Raw genomic sequence first — 20,192 nt, forward strand, 5'->3', positions numbered from 1 at the left:
CTTGGAATATCTTAAAATTCCAGATTTCAGGGAAGCTATCAAAGACTAATATAAGATCTTACCGAAAGGTGTTAGGAGACAATTTGGAGCAGTTTTGTATTGACCAAAGATGGGACAATGTGAGCTTCAAGAACAGAATAAATTGCCGTGGTTTGAAATCCATCAAAGATGTTGAAACCCATGAGTTTATTATGATGATTTTCCCCTTTTTTCACTATATAATCATTTGCATATTTATGAGGTACATGTGAGTTTGTTACATGCAAATAATGTGTAATGATCAAGTGAGGGTAATTGGGGTATCCATCACCTTAAGTGTTATTTTTATATGTTGGTATCATTTCAAGTCATCTCTTCTAGTTACTTTGAAATATACATAATACTGTTGCTAAGTATAGTCACCTTAATCTGCTATCAAACATTAGAACTTACTTCATCTAACCCTATGTTTGTATCCACATCCATTGCTTCCCCACTCTCCCCCACCAATCCCCTTCCCATTCTCTGGTATCTGTCATTCTAGTCTCTATGTCCATGAGATTTAAGTTTCTTAGCTTCCACATATGAGTGAGAGAACATGCTGTCTTTGTCTTTCTGTGCCTGACTTCACTAATTCCATCCATGTTGCTGCAAATGACATCCATGTTGCTGCAAATGAAATCCATGTTGCTGCAAATGACATGATTTCATTCCTTTGTATGGCTGAATAGTACTCTAGTGTATATATGCACCACATTTTCTTTATCCATTCATCCGTTGATGGGCATTTAGGTTGATTCCATATCTTTGCTGTCGGGAACAGAGCTACAATAAACTTGTAAGTGCAGGTATCCCTTTGATGTACTGATTTCCTTTCTTTTGGATGGATACTTGGTAGTGGGATTGCTGGATGGTATTCTATTTTTAATTTTCTGAGAAATCTCCAAACTTTTCCATAGCAGTTGTACTAATTTACATTCCCACTAACAGTGTAAAAGAGGTTCCCTTTTCTCCACACCCTCGCCAGTAACTGTTATTTTTTGTCTTTGTGATAATAGCCATTCTAACCGGGGTGAGATGCTATCTCATTGTGATTTTGATACCTTTCCCTGATGATTAGTGATGTCGAGAATTTTTTCATATATTAGCCATTTGTATCTTTTTTGAGAAATGTCTTCCAAGTCCTTTGCCCATTTTTTAATGGGATTATTTGGAGTTTTCTTCACTGTTGAGGTACTTGAATTTCTTGTATATTCTGGATATTAGTCCCTTGTCAGATGAGTAATTTGCAAATATTTTCTCTCATTCGAGGGTTGTCTCTTTACCCTCTTGATTCTTTTTGCTATGGAGGAGTTTTATAGTTTGATAGCCCCATTTGTCTACTTTTTTGTTTCCTGTGCATTTGAGGTCTTAGCTCTAAAATCTTTGCCTAGACCAATGTCCTAAAGAGTTTTCCATGTGCTTTTTTTTTTTTACTAGTTTTATAATTTTGAGTCTCACATTTAAGTCTTTAATTCATTTTGAGTTGACTTTTATATGTGGTGAGAAATAGGGATCCAGTTTCATTCTTCTGCATATGGTTATCCAGTCTTCCCAGCACCATTTATTGAAGATGGTATTCGTCCCTCAGTGTATGTATGTTGGTGGCTTTATCAAAGATCATTTGGCTGTAAATATGCAGATTTATTTCTGGGTTCTCTGTTCTGTTTCATTGGTCTCTGTGTCTGTTTTTATACCAACACTGTGCTCTCTCAGTCCCTGTAATATATTTTGAAGTGATTCCTCCAGCTTTGTTCTATTTGCTCAGGATTGCTTTGGCTATTCAGGCTCTTTTTTGTTTCCATACATGTTTATGGATTGTTTTTTCTATTTCTGTGAAAAATGACATTGATATTTTGATGGGGATTACATTGAGTCTGTAGACTGCTTTGGGCAGCTTGGTCACTGTAATGACATTAATTCTTCTGATCTATGAGCATGGGAGGTTTTTCCATTTGTTTGTGTCTGCTTCAGTTTCTTCCATCAGCGTTTTGTAGTTTTCTTTGTAGAGATCTTTCACCTCCTTGGTTAAAGTTATTCCTAGTTGTTTGTTGTTGTTGTTGTTGTTTGTTTTGATAGCTATTGTAAATGAGATTGCCTTGATTTCTTTTTCAGCTGTTTCATTATTGGTGTGTAAAAATGCTACTGATTTTTGTATTTTGACTTTGTATCTGCAACGTTACTGAATTTGATTATCAGTTGTTAGTCAAATGTGTTTTCTGCTTGTGTTGAAATTATTATATGGTTTTTGTCCTTCATTCTGTTTATGTGATGTATGACGTTTATTGACTTGCATATTTTGAACCATGCTTGCATCCCTGGTATAAATTCCATTTGATCATGTTGTATTATCTTTTCGATGTGCCATTGGATTCAGTTTGCTAATATTTTGTTGAGGATTTTTACATCTTTTCATCAGGGATGTTGGCCTATAGTTTTCTTTTTTTGTTGTGTCCTTCTCTGGTTGTGGAATCAGGGTGATGCTGGCTTTGTAGAATGGGTTAGGGAGAATCCCCTCCTCTTCAATTTTTTGGAGTAGTTGCAAGAAGATTGGTGTTAGTTCTTCTTTGTACTAATTTGTAATTCTTTGTACTTCTTTGTGGTAATGCTTTGGTAGAATTCTGCAGTGAGTCCATCTGGTCCCCAGCTTTTCTTTGTTAGGAGACTTTTTATTACTGAATTGGTCTATTCAGATTTTCTGTTACTTTCTGGTTTGATTTTGGCAGGTTGTATATTTCCAGGACTGTATCCATTCCCTCTAGGTTTTTCAGTTTGTTGCATATAGTTCATAATAGTCTCTGGTGATTTTCGGTATTTCTGTGATATCAGTTGTAATGTCCCCTTTTTTATTTCTGATTTTGTTTGGATCTCCTTTCTTCTTAGTTAGTCTAGTTAGCAGTTTATCTTTTCAGAGAACTGATTTTTCATTCCATAGATCCTTTGCATTTTTTTAAGTCTCTGTATTTTGTTTAGTTCTGCTGTGATCTTTATTATTTCTTCTGCTAGCATGAGGTTTAGTTTGTTTTTGCTTTTTTTAGTACCTTGAGGTGTGTATCACTATAGTGTTTATTTAAAATATTTATTTGTGTTTATTGCTATAAACCTCTTTTTTAGCATTGCTTTTGCTGTGTCCCCAGGTTTTGGTATGTTGTGTTTCTACTTTCTTCTTTTTTTTTTTTTTCTTCTTTGAGACAGAGTCTAGCTCTGTTGCCCAGGCTTGAGTGCAGTGGCACGATCTCGGCTTATTGCAACCTTTGCCTCCCAGGCTCAAGAGATTCTCCTGCCTCAGCCTCCCGAGCAGCTGGGACTACAGATGCGTGCCATCACACCTGGATAATTTTTGTATTTTTTTTTTTTTTAGTAGAGATGGGGTTTCACCATGTTGGCCAGACTGGTCTTGAACTCCTGACCTCAAGTGATCTGCCCGCTTCGGCCTCCCAAAGTGCTAGGATTACAGGCGTAAGCCACCATGCCTGGCCTCCACTTTCATTTGTTTCAAGAATTTTTTTTATTTCCATCTAATTTCTTCATTGATCTAGTGGTCGTTCATGAGCATATTGTTTAATTTTTGTGTATTTGTATAGTGTTCAAAGTTCCTTTTGGTATTGATTTCTAGTTTCATCCCATTGTGGAATACACTGTGATTTCAAGTTTTAAAAATTTGTTGAGACTAGTTTTGTGGCCTAACATGGTCAGTCACATGTTCCATGTGCTGATGAGAAGAATGTGTATTCTGCAGTTGTTGGATAAAATGTTCTGAAAGTGTCTGTTAGGTCCTTTGGTCTGAAGTCCAGTATAAGTCCAGTGTTTCTTTATTTTCTATCTAGATGATCTGTCTAATGCTGACAGTGATGTGTTGAAGTCCCCCGTTACTATTGTATTGGAGTCTTCCTTTGTATCTAGGAGTATTTGCTTTGTAAATCTGGGTACTGCAGTGTTGGGTTCATATATTATTTTGAATTGTTATATTCTCTTGCTGTAATGATCTCTTTATCATTATATGATTACCTTTTTTGTCTTTTTTTAAACTTTTTTTGACTTAAAGATATTTTATCCGTGCCGGGCGCGGTGGCTCGAGCCTGTAATCCCAGCACTTTGGGAGGCCGAGGTGGGTGGATCATGAGGTCAGGAGATCAAAACCATCCTTGCTAACAGTGAAACTGTGTTTCTACTAAAAATACAAAAAATTAGCCAGGCATGGTGGCAGGCGCCTGTAGTCCCAGCTACTCGGGAGGCTGAGGCAGGAGGATAGCATGAACCTGGGAGGCGGAGGTTGCAGGGGGCTGAGATCATGCCACTGCACTCCAACCTGGGCAACAGAGCAAGACTCTGTCTCAAAAAAAAAAAAAAAAAAAGATATTTTATCCGATATAATTATTATAGCTACTCTTGCTTGCTTTTGGTTTCCATTTGTGTGGAATATCTTTTATTTTCAATCTGTATGTGTCCTCACAGGTAAAATACATTTCTTATAGGCAACATATAGTTGGATCATGTTTTTTTACCCATTCAGCTAGTCTGTGTCTATTAAGTGGAGAATTTAACCCATTTATATTCAATTTTATTGATATGTGAAGATTTGTTTCTGTTGTATTGTTGTTTTCAGGTTATTTTGTGTATTATTCTTTGTTCCTTTTTGTCTTGGTTGTCCTTGTTGTGTGCTGATTTTCTGTGGTACTACCATTTGATTATTTTCTCTTTCTCATTTGTGTATTTGCTTTACCAGTGAGTTTTATATTTTCAGGTGTTTTCATGGTAGTAACTATTGTTCTTTCACTGCCAGGTTTAGGACTCCCTTGAGCATTTCTGTTAAGGCAGGTCTAGTGGTGATGAATTCTCAGTATTTGCTTGTCTGGGAAAGATTCTATTTCTTCTTCGTTTATGAAGGATAATTTTGTTGGATGTAGTATCTTTGGGTGACATTTTCTTTCTTTCAGCACTTATTTTCCTATTATATCCTGGCCTATAAGGTTTCTGCTGAGAAGTCTGCTGTTAGTCTGATGGTGGTGGGGGGAGGCCTCTCTGTAGGTGACTGGATACTTTTCTCTTAGTGTTTTAGAATTTTCTCTCTGTTATTGACTTTAGACAGTTGGACTATAATGTGCTGTGGAAACCTTTTTGCATTGGGGAACACTGGGCCTCCTGCATCTGAATGTCTGAATCTCTTGCTAGACTTGGGAAGTTTTCATCTGCTATTTTGATAAATAGGTTTTTCATCCCTTTTGTTCTCATCTCACCTTTGGGGATACCAGTAATTCATATATTTGGTTGCTTGTAGTATCCCATATATCACAAAGACTTTGTTCATTCTTTTTTTTTTCTTTCTTTATTTTTGTCTGGTTAGTTTTGAAAGACCTGATTTTGTTGTTGTTGTTGTTTAAGACAGAATCTGGCTCTGTTGCCCAGGTTGGGGTGCAGTGGTGTGATCTCGGCTCACTACAACCTCTGCCTCCCAGGTCCAGGCAATTCTTGTGCCTCAGCCTCCCGAGTAGCTGGGATTACTGGTGTGCACCACCACGCCTGGATAATTTCTTGCATTTTTTAAAGAGACAGGGGTTTCACCATGTTGGCCAGGCTGCTCTCGAACTTCTGGCCTCAAGTGATCCACCCACCTCGGCCTCCCAAAGTGCTGTGATTACAGATGTGAGCCACTGTGCCTGGCCAAGACCGATTTTCAAGTTCTGAGATTGTTTCTTCTGCTTGGTCTAGTCTGTTGTTGAAGTTTTTTTAGTGTATTTTGTATTTCATTCAAGGAGTTCTTCAGTTCCAGAATTTTTGTTTGGTTCTTTTTTATGATATCTTTCTGGTAAATTTCTCATTCCTATCTTGAATGGTTTTTCTGATTTCTTTGTATTGTCTTTGGAATTCTCTTATATCTCACTGAGATTCCTTAGTATCATAGTTTTGAATTTTTTCCCCCAGGATTCTTGAATTTCTTTTTGATTGGGATCTGTTGCTCAGGAATTACTGTGGGGGTGTCATATTTCCTTCTTTTTTCATGTTTCCTTTTGTCCTACATTCATACCTGTGTATCTGGTGTAACAGTTACTTCTTCCAGCTTTTTGAGTTTGCTTTCATAGGGGAGAGCTTCTTCCCAAAGATTATATCAATGGTGTTAGTTGGATAGGGCCTTTTGGCTTTGATTCTGGGTGCGCGTGATAGTGCAGTGTAATGTGTATGATTTCTTTGGCTATAAACAATGTCATTGGTATCTGTGATTTACTTGGTTGTTTAGGGTGCAGTTAGTGGAGTTTATGGTGAAGTTTTGCTAGGGACAGACATGTCAGGTGGGCCAGTCTTTGGCCCCAGTGGTGGCAGTGGTGGGCTGAACATGCCTTATTCTGAGCCCCAGCCCATCATATTCTGGCACTGGTGTCAGCAGGACCAGGTGGGTCAATTCTTAGATGTCCAGGTAGCTTACTTAGATGCCAGTAACGGCACAGTGGGCTGGGCAGGTGAACAGGTTCTCAGGTCCCAGCGTGGTAGGGGCAGTGCCAGTGGTGGGATGATCCCCTGGATTCTAAGTAGTGAATGCTGGTGTTGGCAGTGGCTGTGGTGCAGGGTTACCACACAGTCCCAGACACAACTCTCAGGCTTTCTCACTCTCTTCAGCAGAGCCGCACAGAATGGAGAAGGAATCCACCCTTCGTACACAGGCCCCAGCACAAAGGCCATGCCACCAGTAGGGGCACAGTCACCACTCACAGGCCTAGACAGGCAGCTCTCTGTTTCGCTCACCCCAGCCTCCCGTGGTAGCAGCAACAGCTGTGCCTGCAATGGTGTTTGGAGCGGCAGAAGGGATCCCACTCTACATGTGAGCCCAGGCACAGAAGCTGCTCCACCAGTGGCGGGGCGACGGGGGATCTCTCTCTCACAAGGCTGAGCACACAGTTTGTGCTGCTGGTGGTGGGGTCACTTTTCACAGCTGTATGCAGGGAGCTCTGGGCTCTAGAAAGCTGTTGCTTTAGTTTCCTTTGTCCCAGGGGCTTCGTTTTTGGTACAGTGCACCATTATTTCCCTGGAGAATACTCTCTTGAGTTAGAGTACCAGAAACCCCATAGCACCTTTGGGTCCAGCCAACACTGTGCCACTATAGTCCTCTGGGTGGAGACTGGGGGAATGTCAGTGGAAGCTCCTGGGATGTGGAGATATGGGGGCTATGGTTCCCAGGGCAGGATGAAGTCTCCTGACAGCTGGGCTGTCGTGGTGGTGCCCAGTTCCAGCCGCTTAGGTACCAGAGGCGGGGAAAGGGGATAGTGACCCAGTGCAAGTTCCCTGTCTGGTGCAATGCTTGTGCAGGGTCTCCAAATCGCTGCCCACACTAGTTTCAGGGTTGGTATGGGTAGAGGAGCTCTCTTGTAGTTCAGATTGCAGCAGTTTGTGATGGGGTTGTGGACTACTAAAGTTCTCACTTACTCTTTCCCCTGGCCCAATATTGAGCCCCTCACAGCTGCCAGCAGATCTCAGACAAGTAGGCTGCTTGGTTCCTTCCCCTTCTCTGCCTCAAGAGTTTCCTGTGACTTCTCTGTTGGACTTTAATGTTCTCTTCCTAGATACCCTATTCAAGGTATGATTACCTATTTGCAATTTTGGCTCACTCTGGAGAGGGTGGGTGTCTGATATCTCTATAGTCTGCCATCTTGTTTAATTCTTTATGATAAGTTAAAAAATTAATTCATCATCATAAGAGGATGATAGAGAGCCAGTTTGTCATCTTAAAAAATAGGCCAATAGCTAGGCATAATGATGCATACCTGATGTCTTAGTTACTTAGAAGGCTGAGGTGGGAAGATCCCTTGAGGCCAGCCTGGGCAACATAGAAAGATCATGCCTGTTAACAAAAACAAAAATTGAATAGGAAGAAAAATCATTTATCTTGCCTTCGTTATATGAACTCTGTCACTGGATAATTTCATCATAGGTAAAGAGAAGTATCTTTATAATATTAATCCAGCTAAAAAGAAAAAAAGTTAAAATATTACTATTTTGCCATAGTTAATATATCTCTAAGCATTGAATATCAACAGTTGCTAACACCACATAAAGAGAAAAAGAATATACTATATACTTGCACACCTGATGAAAGAATATACTGTACTCCTGCTATGGCCTTATCAAAGGGATCAAACCTTAGTCTCTTCATCCTCAGGATCCAGCTACCAATTTGCAGGAAATGCCAAGCTCAGCGGAGCAAGTTGAACTATACCAAGTGTATGCAATCAGCAAATTCCAGATTGTGAGAAAGCCAAACAGCCTTGGTTCTTTAACAGATATTTTGTGTGGAAAAGAAACAGAAGAAGACCATGTAGAAAAAAATAAAAATGATTTAAAAGGCTCATCAGACTTTAATGGGCAAGACTGAGAAATATGTGTTTAATAGTTGATTTATTCTTCTCTGGGAAAATCTTATAGAAAACTCAGGTAAGATAAATGGCATATATAATATCTAGATATTGAGGGACTTTTTTTTTTTTTTAGTACTAAGAAATTTTTAAGATTATATGTTAAGGGAAAAGCCTTATATGTTTTCTATGCTTTTGAGAAGGGACCAGCAATAGTGATAGTTCTTTTGTTTAACTTAGGAAACAATCACGGCTTCAACTAAACTATCACCCATCCAAAAGTGGAACTAACTTAGGAAGAGGAGACAGGGAAAGTGGGGAATGAAGAAGAAAAATATAACAATGGTAAAGGATTGACATCGATATTTGAAGGAAATAACGAATGGAGCTAAAACTATAGAAAAAATTGTGAAGGTGGCAACTTTGCTTTTAGTATCTATTTTCACCTCTTCACTATCCAATAAAAATAAGTGAGCTTACCAACCCTCCAGGATTGCCTAGAAAAGTGAGAGAATGATAAATTTAAACAAACAGAATGTTAACCCACCTAAGTGAAACTATTAGAGGAAACAGCTTCAACAACAACAAAAAATGGGCACTTAAGAAAATTCAAGTACAGCATAAAAATACTTTTCTGAGCTTAAAACTCAGTTGATGAAGTGGGGGATAGTCACTGTGGAGACTTAAATTATTCAACTGGAGACTTCAATTATTAGACTGGAAAAATAAGATAAATCTCCAAAACATAGAGCAAAAATTCAAAGAGAATCATGAAAGAAAAGGTAAAAGACCTAAGGAATAGATCCAGGAGACGTAACAGAACTAACGTGTATAATAGTTATTTATAGGAATTTAAAAAGGAGAAAAACAGATGGAAGATAGATAATATTTATGCAAATAATAGAAGAAAATTTTTCTGAGCCGAAAAAGCCTATCAGTTTTGAAGTTCACTGAGCTTCAGATTGATTTGATGAAAACACACATATATACCCCTTGACATACATTGGCCAGATTCTTTAGCTATGAAGTGACAAGTTATGGGCAAAGAAATACTGTCAGGTTGGCACTGGACTTCAGATTTGCAATACTGGAAGATAGACTACTGAGAGAAAAGAACTGCAACATAAGAATCCTGTACCTGGCTGAGATACTACTCACCTGTCAGGGTAAAAGGATAATTGCAAACATTTAAAGATTTTAAAAGCATATAAATACATATATTTTCTTACACATTTTAAAAAAAGAAATAGTGGGAGAATAAACCAACAACTTATGAAGTGGTTACCTAATAAGGAAAGGGTTAAAAAGGGAGGTTATGCAAATTTTACCATCTTTTTGAAAAACAGTCTAGCAACAGCTAACAAAACTCAAGAGTCCTAGAGATACATACTTGAAATATCTATCAATGAAATGATAGGATATGAACAAGATCTTCAAAATGATACATGGATGGGGTGAATGGAGGTGTGAATTGGTCAAAGATTGATGGTCACTGGAGCTGAGACAAATTGTCTCTATAACATTCTGTCCACTTGTGTGTAAGTACAAAATTTACCATCACAAAAATGCTCTTAAAAATACTCATGCTTCATGATCTAGCAGTCAAACTTGTGGGAGTATCCTATGTTTATTATAACATTCTTTTTAGGGGCAAAAAATATAGCCATCACTAGGGGATTGGTTGATTAAATCAATGTATAGCCTCACCATAAACTATTGCACAGCCATGGAAAAGCATGTCAGTGCTGTGCCTGGAGTTGTAGGGTTACTTGAAGACATTTTTATAAGGTATTGTTGAGTTCAAAAAATCAAGAATAGTTATATCTCATTTTTGTAAAATGAACAGTGTTTTTAAAATCTGTATGTATGTTTACGTACATGTTTGTGTAAAATTTTATTAGCATGGAGCGAAATCTGGAAGGATGTATACCAGGCCATTAAGGAGACGTGTCTTAGGTAGCTAGTGGCAGAGGAGATGATGATTTGGATGGATGGAAAGGTCAAAGTACAGTCGGACACAATCATTGATAATTTTTTTACACATATATTTACAAGACTCAACAAAATCTTCTCCTGCCCTGCATCCCCGTTTATTTAATCATTTATGCCCTTCCCTTCACAACTAAGCTTCTTAAGGTACATTGTAGACTGACTCCTCCATGGAACCTAGTTTTACTAAGATTGCACATGCTGTCACTGCCAGACCCCTCAGTGGTATTTCAGTCCTTATCCTTTGAAATTCTCCATAGAATTTGACACTGTTGACCATATTCTTCCTAAAATTCTCTTGCCTTGGTTCTTGGGACAAAGTTCTCCTTGGCTTTCGTCCAGCTCCCCAGACTCTTCCTTCTCAATTTCCTCCTAGATTCTTGTCTTCGTAACTTCCTCATTTCCTTTCCATAAACACCCCTGTGTTGGTTTTCTCAAGATTTTTACTTTCTGGACCCTCTTCTCATGCTGCATACTCTCTCAAGTAAATTTCACCCACACTTAGAGTTTTTACTACCATTTATGTAATGATTTTAAAATACATCTATCTCAGACATTTCTCTTAAGCTTCAAACTTACATATTTGGCTGTTCTCTGAATATTTCCACCTGGATTTCCTCAGCAAAATCTCAAAAATCAGCATACCCCCACCATTACACTCCTCTTCGTGTTCTATCTTAATTAGTGTAACATCATTCATCTGCACATATAAGTCATACACTCGAGAGTCATCTAAACTCCTCTTCTTCCTTTTCCTTCTTTCAATTATTCAACAGCTGTTTTTGAGCACTCATTATAGGTTAGGCATTGCTTAGGTACTGAGGATACAGCTGATTAAGAAAATGGAGAAAACATAAAACATAATTGACTCCTGTCAATTTCAGCTTTCAAAATTTTTGTAAGTCCATCTTCCAGCTAAACTGAGAGTCCTTTGAACGTTTTTGTCCAGTCTAAACTGGAATAAAGATCATAATAGCTGAAATTGCATTAACTTCGGTGAGAAAGAGAGTAATATTTTAAGGCTGGGTGCAGTGGCTCACGCCTGTAATCCCAGCACTTTGGGAGGCCGAGACGGGTGAATCACCTGAGTCCAGGAGTTCAAGACCATCCCAGGCAACATGGTGAAACCCCATCTTTACAGAAAATACAAAAATTAGCAGGGCATGGTGGCACGCACCAGGAGTCCCAGCTATTCGGGATGGGGCTGAGGTAGGAGGTTCACTTGAGCCTGGGAGGTCGAGGCTGCCATGAGCTGTGTTTGCACCACTGTACTCCAACCTGGACAACAGAGTGAGACCCTGTCTCAAAGGAAAGAAAATAAGATTTTAAAGGTAAAAATTGTTTATATGATATGTTAACTGTTATGCTATTCTAAATATTACATATTTGGCTGCCCTCTGGATATTAAGAAATCTCAAAAATCGCTACTAATTCTTTTAATTGCTGTCGCTTCTGAAAATTGTAGCTATGAAAAGCAGCTTTGTTATAAACTTGCTTTTAGAAAGAAGTGCTGCAACAAATTTTCCCACGGAAGAAGGGAGGTATTTTATTTCAACTTACATGTTTAATTAGTGCAGAACACACCTTCTAGAACCTTTTTGATTTTCACTGATCTTGATTGTTTCATGTGTTCATCAGCTATGTATTGATTTTTCAGAATATTTATTTTCCACATGGTGAATGTGCCTGAATTATTGCTTGGTCAAAGTCCCTCAAGGAATGATACAAAAATCATCAGTAAGTATCATATAAAGATTTTGGAGTTGCTGAAAAAGACTGATGAAAATACCCAAAATTTATTACTTAATTTACATGAGGTCCTTGTTAGATTTAACTGTACCAAACTTCATCCAATCTAAATTCAGAACATACTAATATATAATCATGTAACTGCCCATAGATGTTTGTATATATGAAGCCAGATAGCATTATCTAATAATATAGCACATCATCTATGTGACAGATACACTTTAAGTGTTGAAAGTTAAAGAATAACCAAGATTATTAATTTCAGAACTTAATAAATTTGGAGTAACTAAGAGGGTATCATGTACGTAGCATTCTAAATGTGGTTTATTCATTAGTCATTGTGCTTTATGCCAGTGCTACTCAGAGTAGCCTTTCCATTAACTGTTTGTTACCAGCCCTCAAGATAAGGAGCTTGTGCCAGAATGTCTGTCAGTACATTGCTTCCTTAATCAGAAAGGAAAAAATATTATGGAAAAAAATGTCCACTAAAATAAGTAGTGTGCTTTGTGATGTAATTGATTTCCATGTTTGGTACCAGCTCTTTATTTTATGATGGTTTAGTAATAAACAATTTGCAGGTTTGCCTGTCTTTATGGACCACACTTTGAGTAGCAGTTTTATGTCATGTGTATCAGACATTTATGATATTGTTGCAGGAATACATGTCCTGATTAATACAGCTTATTTGTGTATAAATGTTTGGCACTTTTAAATTTGCATAATTCTTTAGTCTTTTTTCCCCTAACTTCTGCCTTTTTCCATTAGTCTAAGTCCATGTTACCTTCCTCTATAGAAATTCTGTCCAGCAATAGTGTTTGCTTCAAATGATTGCTTCTTGCTACGGTGCGAGAACTCAGTCATATTCAGAAAACCAGATCTTGCTCATAAACCATAATCGTGGAAATGGAGAAGTGGGTAACTTGTCACATAACACCCCTCCCGCATACTTACTGACACTCATTAATTGCCAAAGTAGAGGTTTTGTTAACAACTTTGCCAGACACTGGTTTTATTACTTAGAATGTCTAATGAGCAAAGTTTAAAATGCCAGTCATTGTCAAAAGAGCTATTCACCATTTTCTACCTTACCTTGTCAGTAAACTGGCTTTATTAAGTGGCTCCTATAAATGCTCCTCACTTGCATACTTCAACTTAATCAAGAAAAATGCTCCATTAATAAATAGGCAAGCTACTTCTAGAGCTCACTGAAGACAGATTAGGAGACTTGAAATTACAGTAGTATGTTGTTACCCACTGGTTTACTGAGTGCGTTTCTGTGTCATAAAATAAACAAAATGACCAGGACTTTGAAGCCTACTTTTCTCAGTGTTATAACAGTAAATTGTACTATTATAAATATATTGTCATAATTTGTACAACTTATTTCCTCAGTTTTATATTTCAGGAACTATGAAAATACAACTGTTGGTACTTACTTACAATGGAGTTCTAATAGTTAATAAGAGATCCAAAAAAAATTATTTAAGTCAAAATGTACCAGAATTTTTTATCAAATGGATTATGTGATGTTAACAGTTCACCATAAGTAGGGAGAAGCATTAGCTTAGGAAGTTTTAAAGTAAATTTTTTTAACCTAGAAGCATAAAGACTACAAGAAGAGGTTACATCGGGTGTTTTTAGTATGTCCAAATATATATATCAACAAATTTGATGATCGGGAATCTAGACTTGATAGAGCATTTTATAGAGTAGTTTGCATATGAGTATACCTATAATAAAAGATTTTTCATTTAACATGTAGTTAAAATGTAAATAGTATTTTATTTTTGTCCTTTTTAAATGACGTCTTAGTAGCTTCCAGTGTATTTATTAGATAATAGTTCAAGTCTCGTACAAAAAAATTGCAATCCATTAGTAAACCAAGAACCTTGTTTTATTTAAGCAGGACTATTAGCTACCTCCTTGATTAAGCCTATTTCTGAGGTTGTTGAATAGCAGCAAGCATCAAGTTTGGTGTTCAGCACCTTTGTCACATATCCCTGTGATGTGAGTGCTTAGAAAAATTAAATAGGCACTTAGGTATCTGTTATGTGCAGAGGGCTGAGCATACAGCATGGTAGGCAATGAGGTATTCTTTAATGAACACTTCAAGTGTTTTGCATGCTTTAGTTTTCCTCCTCTGCTTTCTAACGTATGTGGTGTGCTTTACACACAGATTTCTGAATCTTAGTTTTTTAAACTTTTTAAATGTATATATCACCAACTTGCTTCTACCTCTGTCTTAAGCAAACAGAACACATACAGATGTAAATTAATTATATCAGCCTAGCTCCAAAGCCCAAGAGTTTTAAATTCCAGGTAGTTTTTTTTTTTTTTCAAAAGAAAAATACATGTCAATGTTACCTAGAGGAAAAAAGGAAAGAAATTGCGAATACCTAAATTAACATACACTGTAAGAAATCACTTTTAGCAGTGTCTATAAGTCAAAATATCTTTGACTTGCACATATGTATATATATACACACACACACACATATCAGAAAAATAAATGGCAAATTCTGCTTGCAGCTGCAGTGTTTTCTGGATGGCTGCAAATTAATGTAAGTCTTTAAACTTTAGGGTACACAAGACTATTAAGTATCTTTCTTTGAAGTTCATATAAATGTAGACAAATTTCAAATGTATTTGCCCAAAAAATGTAGTTATTTATTGCAAATACCAAAGCTAATAGGTTTTTTGTTTAAAATATTAACTTGATGTGTTTTCCTTAGAAACTGAATTTCTACCAGTGCCTAGCAACTTAAAGTGAGTCTGTCACATAATTATAGTAGTGAGATGTTGCTGAATATTTAAGACTAAAACTCTCCATAAAGGGTACATTTGGGCAGAACACCAAAAAATGACCTTTGGCTTAAAAATATTATATATGCATACAAAAAAAAATGAGTTCAGCTTTAGCTATCTCATCCTGTCTGCAGAAAAATGTTTTATCTAGCCATGGGTTAAAAGGACCTCCATGTAATGTATATATTTATGATGGAATAGCCGAGACTGGGTAATTTTGTCAGTTTCCTTTAGCGACATCAAAATTTTTGTAGTGATACAAGTCTTATTTTCAGAGGAAAAATTCTTGATTGATTATAGAATCAAATTCTGTTTTACTGATAATTTAGTAGAAAGACGTATGATTGAGGGGAGTACAGAGTGATGTGGTACTTGATTTTATTTTGTATGTAGATTTTGCTTTTAGACTTAAGATATTTTCAGCTATTGATTATATTCTCTTCCTTCCCATCTCACACTTAAAGTCTTAACTGTAATCTCTTACCAATATGTAATACTATAGTAATACAATGAAAATAAGTTCTTATCTGGCATACTTACCTCTGAACAGATGTGTATGACTTCTTTTGTAAAGTAGAATTAAAATTCATAACCTTTGCTTTAGAAAATTGAAATTTAGAAATGGAAATTTAGAAGAGACTCTGTAAAATTACCTCATATTTTATTTTCCTGTTTCTAAACTACCTTGCTCAATCAGTTTGGGGATGTGAAAGCTGTAAAGACTTGTTTCCCAAAGTGCAGGTGCATTTTTCTGTTACTTGTTTAGGCAACATAAATAACAGTTACATGTACATAATTCTTGAATACATTAGTTTTAGTTAGTGGGCTGTTTGTGTAACAAAGGAGCCACTCAATAGGAGACATAGAGTCCTGCTGCAGATGTGAAATGTTCCTCCCAATGATGCCCCAGAGAATCTCTGAAATTCAGAGTCAGCTGGTTCAGGGAACCAGCCTCAGCTGAGATCACTACTAACAAGCCTCTCACTCAGAGGAGACTCTCCACAAAACTGCTGAAAAATGAGTTTTCCCCTGTATCAATATGAAAAGAAATCCAGAGATTTGAGGAAAATCAAGTGAATGACAGATAAGAAGGGACAGCATGAACAAACACAACGGTTGATCCTCAAACATAAATAATGTAGGAAGCAGCAGGGTAAGTTCCTAGTATCCTTGGAGGTTACACAGGGCAGTGGATCCACCAACCATAACAAAAAGCTGCAGTGAAAGAGGGTAATCAGAGACCAAGAAAGTCCTTGGAATTCAAGATAATATATGATTACTAAAGTAAATATTCTGTCAAGGACTAAAGAATAGACTAGACATTGCTGAAGATCTAATTTGATGACATATGAAGAATGTGGAAAACAAAGATGTTGGAAATATGAGGAAAATGGTTTTTAAAAAATGGACAAAACATACATTATCTTACAAAATGCAAATGTTAGGAAAATAGTTTTTTAAATTGAAGAAAGTGTCTTGAGATGGGTGCGGTGGCCCACGCCTGTAATCCCAGCACTTTGGGGAGGCTGAGGAGGGTGGATCACCTGAGGTCAGGAGTTCAAGACCAGCCTGACAAACATGGTGAAACCGGTTTCCGTCTCTACTAATAAATACAAAGAAAAATTGGCCAGGCTACTATAATCTCAGCTACTTGGGAGGCTGAGGCAGGAGAATCACTGGAACCTGGGAGGCGGAGGTTACAGTGAGCCGAGGTCGCACCACTGCGCTCCAACCTGGACAACAAGAGCGAAATTCCGTCTCAAAAAAATGAATGAATGAAAGTGTCTCTTAACTGAAGAAAGACTTACTTTTAGATCAAAGGGAATTATTTTAAACCTAGAATGCTATCATCAGCCAACCATCAATCAGGTAAAAAGGCTAAAAACATCCTTGGATATACTTTCTATTCTTTTTCTGGAAAATTATTCAAATATATTGCTTTTTAGTGACACAAAATATAAAACTAAACAACATGGAGACTTAACTCTTTTTTTTGAGATGAGGTCTTGCTATATTGCCCAGGCTGGTCTTGAACTGATGGGCTCAAGAGATCTTCCTGTTGAAGCTTCCTGAGTAGCTGGGACTATAGATGTGTGCTACTGTGCCCAGCTCTAACTCAAGATTTTGATTAAAAAAAATCCAGAATGACAGCAACAAGCAATTGACATACTTTAGAACAAAATTTCAGAGAACTTTGTGAAGAGTGTTACCAAGAAAAGAGTAGTTCCTAGTACTCGTATGATTTCGATTCTGAGAGTTCATTGTGTCATGCTGTTGAGGATATGATGGCATTTTGTGCTGATGAACAAGAACAGAGACAAAAATTCCAGTAAGTATGACGCAGGCTAAAATAATAGCATGATTTTGGACTTTCCATGGAGTATAAGCATGCTTTCTGAAATGACAGTAGTAGATCAGGTCATTTAAAAGGGCCAAGAGGACAAGCCTAAGGTTTCAAAGTTCTCTTTATTATTTCCAAGTTAATTAAGTCAGATAAAATCAAGCGTAATACTTTAAGCTATTAAAAATGTTTCTCCTGGGTGGTGGGATTATTTTATAGGTAGCGTTTATTCTTTTCTTTTACCCATCTCTCTGTTTTTGTGACTTTCTACCATGAAGTTTTATAACAGAAGCACAATAAATGTTATTTTAAAATAAAATATCACTAAAATATAGCTTAGGACTTTTTTATGCACTTAGCCCATCTGAATAAAAAAAGCCATATAAACAAATACCATTCCCAATGTAAAGATAGTTTTTTCTTAGTAATAATTCTACCGTTGAAAGAATACCTGGCCAGATGTGGTGGCTCACACCTGGAATCCCAGCCCTTTGGGAGGCCAAAGCAGGCAGATTACTTGAGCCCAGGAGTTCGAGAGCAGCCTGGGCAACATGGCAAAACCCCATTTCTACAAAAAAAAAAAAAAATTAGCCAAGCTTGGTGGGGCACGCGTGTAGTACCAGCTACTTAGGGAGCTGAGGTGGGAGAATCACTTGAGCCCAGGAGGTTGAGGCTACAGTGAGCTGTGAACACTGTGATCATACCACCACTCTCCAGCTGGGGCTACAGAGCTAGACCCTGTCTCAAAAAAATAAAAAGACCAGTTTATAATCACTAGTTTGTAATTGTTTAAGGTCAAGGCATGACTTTTTTCTTTATAAACTATATTAATAGTTTATAGGTAAATCAAGATATTTATGTCTGAGTCGTGAATATCTCAGAATCAGGTAAAGAATAGACAAACACAAATCACATTTGAAATTCAATTTTAATCTCAGGTGAGTATGTTTCATAGCATTTTGTTTTCTTAATTTAAAACTCATAAACACTTATGTAAATCAATACTAGTAAATCTCATTTAAAATAATACTTTGTTCTAGAGCCTAGATTTTTGTGGCAGGGTTGTTTTGTCAATATACTCAATCATGAAATAAAGATAGAAGTAGAAGATATTCAGATACTTACGGAAAGGTCACAAAGTATGGCATCATTTTATTGGATGTTTATACAGTATATATTTGGTGTCTTTTATATACTAGGAAGTAACATAGCATGATGGTTGTACCAATTTTGGAGTCAGAGAAACTTGGATTTGAAGATGTAACTCTGCCACTTACTAGCTTTATGGTCATGACAGATGTATTATTAGCATTACATAGTGGTATTCTAGACATGTAAGATGGACATAGATGAATGAGACAATTTATAGAATTGCATAAGTACAGTACTCATTTTAACCTTTTACTAATGCTTATTTTCAGTGAAAAGTTCTCTACTTAGCTATAGAAACTTTTAAAAATTATATACTGGCATCAAATTGTAGTTAGCAAATGCAACAAAGTTGATATTATTGTATCCCTCCCCTGTTTACTATCTCCACTCCATTTCCTTTCCCTTCTAAGGAGTGCTAGAAAATATTTTACACAAATAACTGTCAATTATGACTAGTACTTTTATAATAAAAGTATAAATTCCACCAAACACTAATACATGAAATATTAGATACAAGAAAATAAGTATCGTGTTTCACTCTACTTCTTCTTTGCCCTCACGCCTCCCTGCACCTCTCCTTCCCTGCCCATGAAAAGTTTATATCTATATATTTCCATTATTTATTTGAAAGACTGATGGTTTCCACTGCCCTTATTCTAAAGGACCACATACTTCCATTGTAGCCCTGTAATAAGTGAAATAAGTGCCCGGAGCAAGCTTGAATCTTTTTGTCTTCAATCTTATAGTACAATGTTAAACAAATAAGGGATTAGACTTTGGCCTTTTAAAATTGACGTATGTGCTTTATTGAATTTGGCAGTATTTGATGTCAAAAGTATGTTATTTATAAGTTTTTAATTTACATGATACATTCGTCTCTTTTTTGTAGGCAGTGAGTTACTATTTATCACATGCATGGTATATGTGCCAGGTATATGTCAGGCACTTTACATAAATTAGTTAATCCTTAAAACAGTCCTGTGAGTATTAATTCCTAATACTAGATTACTGATCTTTTACATGGCAGAGCAGAGATTTGAACCTAGGGCTAATGCCAGAACCGATGTGACTTTGCACTACACCAGGCTGATTGTTACTGAGTATAGGAAGTTCAGAGTCAGATGATCCTGCTGTTAGCATGTAACTGGAATATGAATTTTGTATACATTTATTTGATTTAATTACACCTATTTTGAAGTGTGCCAAGACAGTTCTTCATTATGTTTGACTGTTACACTTTCTGTTGGGCAAAAAGGATGCTGAAAATGAAATAATGATTTTGTTTGTTTGTTTGTTTGTTTGTTTTGCCATAGAGCCTACTATTAACTAATTTAAAATCTTTGGGCTCATGCCTGTAATCCCAACACTTTAGTAGGCAGAGGCAGGAGGATCGCTTGAGGCCTCGAGTTTGAGACTAACCTGGGCAACAGCCAACCTCATCTCTACCAAAAAAAAAAAAAAAATGGCCTGGATGTGGTGGTGTGTACCTGTAGTCCTAGCTACTTGAGAGGCTGAGGCAGGAGGATCGCATGAGCCCAGGAGCTCAAGGTTACAGTGAGCTGCGATCGTGCCACTGCACTCCAGCCTGGGCAATGGACGGAGACCCTATCTAAAAAAAAATTTTTTTAAATTATAGGGCTGCTTCTAATTGTGATTAAGTGTACTACAATATTATCATATTTAGGCTAATTAATTTTTATCATCTTAAAATTTCTAGTTCTAATTGCCTCGTAAAATATGTGTTTTAAAAATCTTTATTGGTTAATATATCTTAGTATCTTTTAATCTATAGATAT

At 36.9% G+C, this 20,192-nt stretch overlaps 1 protein-coding gene across 22 annotated transcripts in view; it reads left to right on the forward strand.

Annotated features, from left to right (window-relative positions):
- ANKRD12 (ankyrin repeat domain 12) overlaps positions 1–20,192 on the forward strand; it is a 149,205-nt gene that overhangs the window by 90,690 nt on the left and 38,323 nt on the right. The window contains exons 1-2 of one of the 22 annotated variants that reach the window (XM_017025669.3): positions 8,225–8,439; positions 12,007–12,086. The exons of 20 other annotated variants lie outside the window; for them this stretch is intronic. In XM_017025669.3, coding sequence (XP_016881158.1) covers positions 12,023–12,086 — 64 coding nt within the window. In that variant the 5' untranslated portion in view covers positions 8,225–8,439; positions 12,007–12,022. Of the gene's footprint in view, positions 1–8,224; positions 8,440–12,006; positions 12,087–20,192 lie in introns of those variants that run through there. One more of the 22 variants, XM_047437392.1, reaches the window with a different exon arrangement.

Source organism: Homo sapiens, chromosome 18, assembly GCF_000001405.40.
Source record: "Homo sapiens chromosome 18, GRCh38.p14 Primary Assembly".
Lineage (NCBI taxonomy): Eukaryota > Metazoa > Chordata > Mammalia > Primates > Hominidae > Homo > Homo sapiens.